The sequence below is a fragment of the Homo sapiens genome, chromosome X (genome assembly GCF_000001405.40).
Source record: "Homo sapiens chromosome X, GRCh38.p14 Primary Assembly".
NCBI classification, from domain to species: Eukaryota; Metazoa; Chordata; class Mammalia; order Primates; family Hominidae; genus Homo; species Homo sapiens.
Genome location: NC_000023.11, coordinates 34,336,938 through 34,349,738, shown reverse-complemented (window position 1 = coordinate 34,349,738; position 12,801 = coordinate 34,336,938). Strand labels below are relative to the sequence as shown.

Here is a 12,801-nt window from a genome sequence, read left to right as displayed (position 1 = left end):
CACACAAAAATATATTCATAGACTGTAAGGTAATCAGATATGACCTGGTCTTTGGGAAATAGATAAGCTGGAAACATAAAGAATGGAAATCGACAGGGCTTGGTGGCTCACAGCTGTAATCCCAGCCCTTTGGGAGGCCGAGACAGGCAGATCACAAGATCAGGAGTTCAAGAGCAGTCTGGCCAACATAGTGAATGAAACCCCGTCTCTACTAAAAGTAGAAAAAATTAGCTGGGTGTGGTGCTGTGCGCCTGTAATCCCAGCTACTTGGGAGGCTGAGGCAGGAGAATCGCCTGAACCCGGGAGGCGGAGGTTGCAGTGAGCCAAGATTGCGCCATTGCACTCCAGCTTGGGCAACAGTGCGAGACTCCATCTCAAAAAAAAAAAAAAAGAAAAAAAAAGGAAATCATGTAACTAATTCAGTTGGGGATGACAGGGGCAGATCAAAACTCTTCTATTGTAAAAAAAAAAAAAAAAAAGGTAAATGTCTTACTTGAGAAAGAAATTTCTTTAAAGTGTTTAGCTATGCTAGGGATCATCTGTTTATCATTACATTAGGCATGTACTGCATGGAATTAGTACCTGTGTCTTGCTATAAAACAAAATTATGGTAGAAAGAATATTCCACTTATCTAGTTATCATATAGCTGAGGATAGAGCAGTCAAATGCTATTTGTAATTTTTGTATGTGAGTCAGCAAAGCTGTCTTTGACATAAACATCAATTTTCTCTGATTTAAAGACAATACTTTAATAGATAATTCTGGTTGGAAGAACTGATTGATATCTGACAGGAAGTCCTCCTCATATTGAAAAATGCCTAGGAGGAGAGACAGGAGGTGGAGGTGGGACTGACAGTAATCATCAGTAAATTTCAAAACTCAAATGAAAATCTTGTTGACAGCAGGGTATTCAGCACATAAAGTAGTTTTACTACTGACACTATTTTCTAAGGTTCAGTATATATCTATCTTTATATCAAATATCTGTGCAAAGACAGTGTAGTGCTGGGGAATGAAATTGAACTGGGAATCAGTACATGTGGATTATTTTCCCACTGGGTTCTTAGTACCGATTCTCTCTTGGAGTGTTAGAGCTCTGGGAATAAAATTCTTTGTCTCCAAGTTACCTGCTAGGATCTTTTGAATTCTAAATTTTTTGAAACTCTGATCCCATTTTATCATTGTAGTAATACTGTATACAGGAAGATAGCAAGCTAAATTAATAGATATATGGATGGGTGAGTGGAAAGATGGGTGGATATATATATGTATGAACACACACACATATATGTTTGCACACATACAGAATTTATGCACATATATGTGTATGTGTGTACATATATGAATATATATGTGTGTATATACACACACATAGTTATTTACACACATATATTTTTATATAAAGTCACATCACAAATTCTCCTGGTCACAATTTTCCTTTCACAAATGTGAAACATTTGGGCTTGCAAAAATGACAATACATCACTTATCGCCTATTATTGAAGAGGTAAGACAAGTGGGACTTGAGACAGATCTTTCAGTTATGAAAAATACTAATAAAGTAATTCATGAATATTTATATATATATTTTGAAAACAATTTCTAGTGGCTTTAAGTTATAAAAGGTGAACAAAGACAGTATCATAAATGCATCCATAGCTAATTTTAATATTATTGAAAATTTACTGGGAAGTGCTAACTGCTAATGAGGATTCTGTTCTTGCCAAAATAACTTCCACTTTTGATGCACGGTATGGTGTGCACACTATTTGTAGAAACATATTTTTTCTAGCAAATAGCTTAATAAAAATAAAACATATAAAAACCAAACAATGAAACACACATTTTACTTCTTTAATTAACATATTTAGGCTTGTGAAACACTTAAGACCTCCTAGTAATCAATTTTACAGAGAATTTTATTAAAGATATATTATTATACAATGATTGTAGGGAGACATTTAGATCTGCCTTCTGGACGGTTTAAGTATATTTCTGTGGATCAGTTGGCTTTATTTGAGTGGAAAGGACCCAATCAGTGAAAGTTTCAAATAATCAACTATCTACTTACTCATAGGAATTTAGAAATAAATAAGAGTTTAGATGGGGAATCTTTATTAAAGAGTTAAAACTGAAAATGACCATATTATCATATAACTTTAAAGTTAGAAAAAGCTTCATTTATTTTTCAAATGTGAAAAACAGTAATTGAGTAGCTTGGTGAGCTTTTAAAAGTCTCAAGTCGGCCAGGTGCGGTGGCTCACTGCTGTAATCCCAGCACTTTGGGAGGCCAAGGGGGGTTGGATCACCTGAGGTCAGGAGTTCAAGACCAGCCTGCCAACATGGCAAAACTCCTTCTCAACTCAAAATACAAAAAAAAATTAGCTGGGCGTGGTGGCAGGTGCCTGTAATCTCAGCTACTTTGGGAGGCTGAGGCAGGAGAATCACTTGAATCTGGGAGGCGGAGGTTGCAGTGAGCCAAGATCGCGCCATTGCACTCCAGCCTGGGCGACAAGAGCGAAACTCTGTCAAAAAAAAAAAAGTCTCAAGTCTAGAGATTGACAAAAATACGACTTTAAAGGCATGCTTCTGGGACCACTGCAGTTTCAATCTTCCTATGTTTTTCCTCAACATTGGTTAAATTGAAACACACACACAAATGAGAACATCATTGCACATGCAGGCACACACACCAAACAACAAACAAAAACCCCATAAAAACCCATAGTTCCCTCTTCAAATCAACCTGCTTTCAACCATATGGAAACTGTATGGACTGGATCTTTAAGACATTTTTAAGAGAAGATAAGCCAAACCTTTTTTCTTCCACTTGATTCTAGGAATTGTTTAGACTTCTTAAAGGGAGTATAACTATTCATTAGGGATCTCACCTATTGTTCACACTCAACTTTGTGATGGCCATGCCTTAAACTCTGTTCTTAGAGGAACTTTACATAGTGAAGTACTTGGGTAAGTGAAAGGAACACAAGGAGAGGATACTGGAGAGAAGGTTTTAGAGAGTGGGTGATGAGTTGTTGATTTTCCACTGTGATTATGCTTTAATGACAATTTCTATGAATATGAGTTGTATTACATGCTTGGTGTAGGATACAGGCAGACTTCCTTAAATGAAAACTCCATTGTGGCAAACATATCTCCAAGCCACAGTTTATTTATTTTCTTTATTTCTTCTAAAAAAAAAGTGGGGAAACGTGCAGGTTTGTTACATAGGTATATGTGTGCCATGGTGGCTTGCTGCACCTATTGACCCATCCTATAAATTCCCTCCCCTCACCCTTTACCCCCTACTAGGCCCTGGTGTGTGTTGTTCCCCTCTCTGTGTTCATGTTCTCAATGTTCAACTCCCACTTATGAGTGAGAACGTGCGGTGTTTGGTTTTCTGTTCCTGTGTTAGTTTGCTGAGGATGATGGCTTCCAGCTTCATCCATGCCCCTGAAAAGGACATGATCTCATTCCTTTTTATGGCTGCATAGTATTCCATGATGTATATGTACCACATTTTCTTTATCCGGTCTCATTATTGATGGGCATTTAGGTTGCTTCCATGTCTTTGCTATTGTAAACAGTGCTGTAATAAACATACATGTGCATTTATCTTTATAGTAGCATGATTTATATTCCTTTGGGTATATACTCAGTAATGGGATTGCTGGGTCAAATGGTATTTCTGGTTCTAGATCCTTGAGGAATCGCCATACTGTCTTCCACAATGGTTGAAATACTTTACATTCCCACCAACCGTGTAAAAGAGTTCCTATTTCTCCACAGCCTCGCCAGCATCTGTTGTTTCTTGAGTTTTCAATAATCGCTATTCTGATTGGCGTAAGATGGTGTCTCTTTGTGGTTTTGATTTGCATTTCTCTGATGATCAGTGCTGTTGAGCATTTTTTATATGTTTGTTGTCTGTGTAAATGTCTTCTTTTGAGAAGTGTCTGCTCATATCCTTTGTCCACTTTTTGATGGGGTTGTTTTTTTTTCCTGTAAATGTGTTTAAGTTCCTTGTAAATTCTGGATATTAGACCTTCATCAGGTGGGTAGATTGCAAAAAATTTCTCCCATTCTGTATGTTGCCTGTTCTCTCTGATGCTAGTTCCTTTTGCTGTGCAGAAGCTCTTTAGTTTAATTAGATTCCATTTGTCAATTTTGGCTTTTGTTGCAATTGTTTTTGGTGTTTGTGTCATGAAGTCTTTGCCCATGCCTACATCCTGAATGGTATTGCCTAGGTTTTCTTGTAGGGTTTTTATGGTTTTGGGTTTTACATTTAAGTCTTTAATCTATCTTGAGTTAATTTTTGTACAAGGTGTAAGGAACGGGTCCAGTTTCAGTTTTCTGCATATGACTAGCCAGTTTTCCCAGCACCATTTTCTGAATAGGAGATCCTTTCCCCATTGCTTGTTTTTGTCAGGTTTATCAAAGATCAGATGGTTGTAGATGTGTGGTGTTCTTTCTGAGGTCTCTGTTCTGCTCCATTGGTCCATATGTCTGTTTTGGTACCAGTACCATGCTGTTTTGGCTACTGTAGCATTGTAGTATAGTTTGAAGTCAGGTAGTGTGATGCCTCCTGCTTTGTTCTTTTTGTTTAGGATCGCCTTGGCTATACGGGTCTTCTTTGATTCCACATGAAAGTTAAAATAGTTTTTGTCTAATTCTGTGAAGAATGTCAGTGGTAGTTTGATGAGAATTGCATTGAATCTATAAATTACTTTGGCCAGTATAACCATTTTCATGATATTGATTCTTCCTGTCCATGAGGGTGGAATGTTTTTCCATTTGTTTGTGCCTTCTCTTATTTCCTTGAGCAGTGGTTTGTAGTTCTTCTTGAAGAGGTCCTTCACATTCCTTGTTAGCTCTATTCCTAGGTATTTTATTCTCTTTGTAGGGATTGTGAATGGGAGTTCATTCGTGATTTGGCTTTCTGCTTGCCTATTGTTGGTGTAAGAGAATGCTTGTGATTTTTGCACGTTGATTTTGCATCCTGAGACTTTGCTGAAGTTGCTTATCATTTCAAGAAGTTTTCTGGCTGAGATGATGGGGTTTTCTAAATATAATATCATGTCACCTGCAAACAGATGCAACATGACTTCCTCTCTTCCTATTTGAATACTCTATTTCTTTCTCTTGCCCAGAACTTCCAATAATATGTTGAATAGGAGCGGTGAGAGAGGGCATCCTTGTCTTGTGCTGGTTTTCAAAGGGAATGATTTCAGCTTTTGCCTATTCAATATGATATTGGTTCTGGGTTTGTCATAAGCAGCTCTTATTATTTTGAAATGTGTTCCATCAATGCCTAGTTTATTGAGAGTTTTTAACATGAAGGAATGTCGAATTGTATCAAAGGCCTTTTCTGCATCTATTAAGATAATCCTGTGGTTTTTGTCTTTGGTTCTGTTTATATGATGAATTATGTTTATTGATTTGCATATGTTTAACCAGCCTTGCATCCCAGGGATGAAGCCAACTTGATTGTGGTGGATAAGTTTTTTGATGGGCTGCTGGATTCGGTTTGCCAGTTTTTTATTGAGGATTTTCTCATCAATGTTCATCAAGGATATTGGCCTGAAGTTTTCTTATTTGTTGTGTCTCTTCCCGGTTTTGGTATCAGGATGATGCTGGCTTCATAAAATGAGTTAGGGAGGAGTCCCCCCTTTTCAATTGTTTGGAATATTTTCAGAAGGAATGGTACCAGCTCTTCTTTGAATTTGTGGTAGAATTCGGCTGTGAATCCATCTGGTCCTGGGCTAAACTAGATTTGTAATTCTACAATTTGGGGGCAAGATGAGAAAATGTGAATACTTCCAAATTAATTTTGTTATTATGTGCAATAAAGTATTACAATTATTGTATATTTTATTTTGGCCTCATCTATTACTGTATAACTTTATTAAGAACACAGACTATGACTTTTTGTTCCTTTCATAGCTGCCACCTCATCTAGTCATAGAGGAAAGGGCCAACTGATTACATATGACAAAGACTTGCAACTCTGTAAAGCCTTCACATCTCTGAGAACAGGGGTCTTTAGCAAGCTAATACCAGTAGTCAGACCACCTATTTGGTAAACAAAGTGTTATTAGAACATAATCATGCCCATTGATTTGGTATTGTGCATAGCTGCTTTCAAGAATTGATTAGATGCCACAGAGACCATATGGCTGGCAAGCCTAAACTATTTACTATCTGATCCTTTAAGAGAATGTTTGCCAATTCCTTCCTTAGAAAATAAAGTCTAAGCTTTAGGTCATGTTCAAAAATATTTCTCATGTTTGGTTGTTCATGTCCAGTACCTCCTTACAATTTTGAGGATAATCTCTACTCTGTAGACTTTCCATTGAGAAGAGCCCAGCTCAGGCTTGGTGAGAGGCTTCTCACCTAGAAGATTGAATATAGAACAAAATACTGCAACAATGAGAGATGGCTACAATTATTTCACAGCAATGATGTTGGTAGTACCCTGTACCTCAGTCAGTAGCACTCTGGCCAAATTGCTCCTGCTAAAAGTTGGCTCTCTAACTTCCTGTTCTGTAACCTGCCAAAATGCCCTGGCTCTCCTCCAGCCCCATATCATTGTCATGAACCTCTGATGTCCTTCCCATTAATCCCCTTGAATCTGAAGGCAGACAGATTTGGTTTCTGTTATTTGCTACCAGACTCATCTTACCATATACACTTAGCATAAAAATACTCTATTAATTATTGCATATGGCTATACACAACTCCAGGAAGAGCCATTCAAATTGACATCAATATGAATGACACTCCTTGGAGTTGTGCAGTGCCCATTCTGCATAGTTTTGTAAAAGGCTGCTTTGTGTTTGCTCATCTTTCCAGCTCCCCTTCAATTGTTTTGCATTCATGCTCTACAATTGCATCAATTCCAATTACTTTTACTATCCAGACAAGCCATGTTATATCTTGTTTTTTCTGTGATCACTTTGTTCCCAATGCCAAATGCAGCTTATTCACAGTTTGCTCATCTAACAAAACCCTATGTCTCAACATTTAATGCTCTTCTCAGATATCACCTCCATTGTAAAACTTTTCCTGTCACATTATTTTCCTGCTACCCACGCTAGGCATTCAAAATAAATGACTTTATCAAATGTTTGCATAACATTTTGTGTATATTTCCGTCAACTCATCTCATGATGATTTTATTGTAGTCTTCTGCACTAACGTATGTGCTTTCTGAACAAATGGATTTGTTTAATTGTGTCCTGGTAGAAGATACCTTTGCACATAGCAGATGCTTAAATATATATATCTTCGTGCACTCTGTTATATTATTTAACACTTATAATTCACTAAATACATCAAATTAGTACTTAGAGTCTTCAATTCTCAACAATCACATATATCTAAATGCAGCAATATTTACTTCCTTCTACTAGTTGTCAAATGTCAAGTGAAAAGAAATCTCAACTTAGTAAGGAGAGACTTTATTTGAAAAGATTATTGCAAAGTAGGGGTGAACGTCTGTTGCAATAGGGGGAGGAGAACTATCACAATAGGGATAAAGCTCTGATCGTAATACCTGCAAGCATCTCAAAGTTTAGGCAAAAAGGGCTGTTCTTCAATAGGAAGGAGTAGACAAAGCTAGAAACAACAGAGGAAGTAAGATTAAAGGGTCACTCGATCAGATCCTAGATCAAATGTTTTACTCTGAGGCCAGCCTGTTCTCCGGAAGGTTTATGGTTTGGCTCAGGTTAATGGTGGGTCAGAGTTCAGGGGCATGAAGGAAAGAGAAACTTGGCAAGCAGTTTTTTTTTCTGATTGATCAGTAGGGCCAAGCAATTCAGTTAATAATTTATGAGGCAAAATATGCGAATTTGGAGGATCTTTGTTTGACCATGTCATAGTAAAACAAGGGGAGGCATCCCTGAATCTTATCTACTGGGAAGGATAGATCTTTGCAATAAGCTATTTTGGGGTAACAAAAGGCAGGAGAATTTCCTAATCTTTGCTAGTTTCCAGAATTATTGGGCTTTGGTAAAATTCAACATTGTCACCAATAATGTTTTCAGTACTAGAGAACAAAATTAGATTTTCATAAAACTTAATTTTGTTTTCCAGTGGTTATCACACAGCCACTCATATGCCCACTTGTTAAATTCTGTGAAGTTACCTTTTATGTTAGAGGGTCCTCAAATTTAATAGGTCAGGGATATTTTATGAACCAAATATTGTCTTCCTGCCTAAATCAGAGACTTAGCAGATTTCTTTCAAGCTAAAGTCACCTTCATTCATTTGATAAGACTGTAGGGGGCAGAATTACCCTGGAAGAAAGCTTGAGTGCACCTAGCTAATATCTGAATGTATGCTGTCAGTGATTCATATCTGCTTTTCAGAACAAAGGTTTTTAAAAGTCTTTATAAGAGGAAGATTTCTTATTTATCACTTTGCTTTCTTTTTAATTAATCCTAACTGCTTTTCATGTGGGAAAATGTTTGAAAAGTTTGGATTATAAATGAGTCTAGCATTATTGCTCTATTGTCCCTGCACTAAAATCCTATTGTATTGCCAAGTCAAGGAAGCAAAAGGCAGTAGATTAAGAAAAAATTGCTGGGAAAATGAGCAAGCATTGTTATAAATATGTGACAGATTTCTGTTACTCTCTTGGTAGTAGCATATAGTAGTGGAAAGACTAAGGAATTAGTCTGCATCTTAGTAAGCTATTTGTTTCACAGCTTTTTAAAAGCTAAGTAATGTTTTCTGTAATCATCAGCTTATTTGTGGTTTCCAAATACTTTTCTGTTCTTGATGCCCTTACTACCAAAATAAAAGAGATCTTTCTTCCTAATAATCTACTTCTCCCCTAGCTTGTACTAGGATATGTGTAAAACAAGTGGCATTTATGCATTTTTTTTTCTCATTTTACCCTGATTTCATTCAACATTCTAGCAAGATTTTATTTTGAACATCAATAATGTCTTTAGGATTCCCAAATAAAAGGTTTTCCTTCTGACTCATTTATTTTAAAATCCCCATTGCTTTTGATATTTTATTGACTGTAGTTGACTGTTACATTTACATTGAATTGTGACTATATTCTACCTTGTTACTCCTCTTACATATTCAGCAAATCAGTTTGTTACTTTGAATGCATCTTTTTTACTTCTCCTTTCCTATTATTTTGAGAATTCACAAATCTTCAGTGTTTGGCTTGCTGACTTTCCTTCTCCATAAGAATATTATTCGATTTTGTGATTCCAACTAAAACTTGCCATTGGGATGAATATTACCTAATAATAATGTTAATGACTCTGGTATCTATGTAGTTTAATCTCACTAAAGCTCAGCTTTCTATTGCTAACTGCCTTCTAAATATTTACAAATGGATGTCTTGCTATTTCTTCAAAATCAGCTATTCAAAACAATTCATTTTTCCAAAACTAGTCCTCCTTTCTGATTTTCCCATCCTTCTACCATTGTCATAACTTTTAGGTACAAAAAAATTGTTTAAATAGTTTTAACCTATTCTTTACTTCACAGGCTTATTGCTAACTTCCTAGGCCAGGCCCTTAAGCCCAGGAAACTACTCTAGTCTCTGTTTCCATTAGAAGGCAAGGTCCAAGAGGACAGAATTTTCTGTATGCTTTGTTCATCAACGTAACCTAAGTGCAAATGAGAGTGACTGGCTCATTGAGTATTTGTCCAATGAGTGAATGAATGAATAAGCCCAAATACCCAAACCTAGGCTCTGCTATCATATATTTATCCTACATTCATTACTAGATGAATATTTTAATGCCACTTTTGTAGTGCTGTTTTTCTGAACAGAAACCCAATTTATTCTACTTTCTCACTTTTGTCTAGCTTTCAAAAATGTCCATTATCCTAAGGAGGTCCTAAGAAAGTAAATTACTGTCATAGGTAAAAGTGAACACTCTGGAGCTAAATAGTCTGAGTTTGGTCATGGTTTCTTTATTTACTAATTGGAACAGTTATTTAATTGTCCAGTGTCTTCATTTCTACATCTGTAAAATATAGATAATGACCACTGGATTGGTGTTAGGATGAAGTAAGTTAGTGCACCTTAAGCACTCAAACAGTGCCTGGGATTTAATAAATGCCCAATATACAATAGATATTATTTTTAATCAATTACCTTATTAATCTATATAATTGAAAATATTGTTTACGCATAAATCAGTGGTATCCAAATGTTTACAGCAACATATTCCACCTTTAAATCGAAATTTTATATGTAATCCAATGAATTTGCAAACTTTTAAATAAATGCTGCTTTGGTTATTTGTATCCCTACCTCTTTGGTAAATTTCTAAATCTCCTTGTGAAAAATCTCAAAATTCCAAGAACCACAATTTAAAGACCACTAGTCTAAGTAACTTTGGATATAACTATTTGTTGATTGATTAAATCCTATCTAAAAGCATCAAACTGTAGAGATAGCAAGCTTTTAAATAATTCATCTACTAATTTGCCTGTTGATATAGTTTGGATTTTTGTCCCGTCCAAATCTCGTGATGAAATTTGATCCCTAATTTTGGAGGTGGGGCCTAAAGGGAGATGTTTGGTAATGGGGGAGGATCCCTCATGAATGGCTTGGTGCCCTTTCCTTGGTAATTAGTGAGTTATTGCTTGTTGCTCTATTAGTTCATGTGAGATCTGGTTGCTTAGAAAAGTCTGGCACCTCCCGCCCCTCTCTTTTTCCTTCCCCCTTACCATGTGATGCTTGCTGACCTTCACTTTCTGCCATAGCCGGAAGCTTTCTGAGGCTCTCAGCAGAAGCAGATGCTGAAGCCATGCTTTATAGCCTGAAGAACAGTGAGCAAAATAAATCCCTTTTCTTTATAAATTACCAAGCCTCAGGTATTTCTTTATAGCAGATTCAGACACCTTTCTCAAGTTAGGGCATTCTAACATCAGGAAGTTATATTTTAAATATTATCTAACACAGGCAATTTACATCTTTTTTGGTCACTTAATTTAACTTTGTTTTATTTTTATATGTTTTGCCAGAGTAAATAAAGGAGTTTGAGTTAGAAATCATATTTAAGAAATCAAAGTTTTGTGTTATTATAAGTGTCACACACAGAATAAGTTGTCTGCCCTTCGAGCATTTCTGGATGATTTAAAACATTATGAGTTTCTGAATGGAATCTGTGAGATGTAAAACCTATTTTCTAAATAATGTTGATATTAACAATATTCACTCTTTTATCTTCAACTTTTTAAACTAAGTGAAACCTTAGACTTTGCTGTAATCCTCATTTCTAGCAAAATAGATACTTACATCTACTCCTTCACTGAAAAAATTTAGAAAAAAAATTGCTATGTATAAAAGAGAAGAGTCATATATAATTATCTTGCATTATTCATAAAGTATTTCCTGAATAATCAAATGAACATCTGACTTAGAGTCATGTACTCTTAAAGGAGTAAAAGAGAACCCATTCATGAGCTATTTCAGTCCCTCTATCTTACAAATGAGAAAAATATGAACTGCTGAGCTCAGCATTTTATCAAAGACAAATGGTTGAACTTTAAATATTAAGAAGTATTGAAATCTTTTTGTTCCCAGTCCATGTGGCAAATTAATCACATAGTCACAAACATCAAAACATTTATTCTTATGTCCCAAAGAAAACAGAATATCATGTTTTGGAATCCAGATGATATATCAACTAAAAAAGAAAGATATGATTTTTATTTTTCAACTTTTATTTAAAAATTTAAAGTGTTAAATTAATTTTTTTAATTAAACAGGTGGTGACTAATTCATTTTCTGGCTTACACTGGGATAGACAATAAAGCAGTAAGCAGAAATACTTTGCCCATTGGCTTTTCTAAATTTTGTTAAACAGAGCTTCTCCAAGTAGGACTGAGAAATAGAAAAAGGCCTGTCTCTGTATAGCCTGTGGTTGTCTTTATTGATCTCATTTTTCTTTACCCTTCTCGATGCCTCTTACCTCTGTTCTGTTCTTCTCCCTTTCATTCATACTGAAACGGCTCATAAGCCCTCAAGTGTTGGATCTCCCAGAGAGATGGAGGAGTGCCACTAAAAGAGGAGCAAAGGAAAGTAAAATTGTACAGTGAATATTTAAATGTGGGATTTCAACATCAATGAGAGAGAAAGTGGCAATTTTCTATTGTAGGAGGGCAGACTTTCCCGTGCTTCTAAAACCATTGTAAATGTCCACAAAGAAACAAAAAATAAATAAGCAAAAAGACAAAAAATACAACAGCAAAACACAAAACTTAAAAGAAAAAAATGAAATTTGGTTGATTACATTGTAACTTAGGCTAATCTGTGGGATATTGATCTCTTTAATAAACTGAGTTCCTCATTTCATGAACATTGTATATTCCTTAATTTACTAAGGTATTTGATATGGTTTGGCTGTGTCCCCACCCAAATCTCATCTTGAATTGTAACTCCCACAATTCCCATGTGTTGTGGAGGGAACCTGGTGGGAGGTAATTGAATCACGGGCGGGGGGCTCTTTCCTGTGCTGTTCTTATGATAGTGAATAAGTCTCAGGAGATCTGATGGTTTTATAACTGAGAATTTCCCTGCACGAGCTCTCTTCTCTTGTCTCCTACCATGTGAGACATGCCTTTTACCTTCCGCCATGATTGTGCAGTCTCCCCAGCCACGTGGAACTGTAAGTTCAATAAACCTCTTTCTCTTGTAAATTGCCCAGTCTCAAGTAAGTCTTTATCAGCAGCATGAAAATGGACTAATACAGTAAATTTGTACCAGTAGAGTGTGGCACTGCTGAAAAGATAACCGAATATGTGGAAGCGAATTGGGACTG

General features: G+C 36.1%; 1 long non-coding RNA gene across 1 annotated transcript; it reads right to left on the bottom strand.

Moving 5' to 3' along the window:
* Window positions 1-4,009: 4,009 nt before the first annotated feature.
* LOC107985674 (uncharacterized) lies at window positions 4,010-12,046 on the bottom strand. The gene is made up of 3 exons (XR_001755823.2): window positions 11,953-12,046; window positions 10,706-10,797; window positions 4,010-5,779 (listed from the first exon to the last, which is right to left on the bottom strand). It is a non-coding gene; the product is annotated as an uncharacterized LOC107985674 (long non-coding RNA).
* Between the last annotated feature and the right edge of the window lie 755 nt (window positions 12,047-12,801).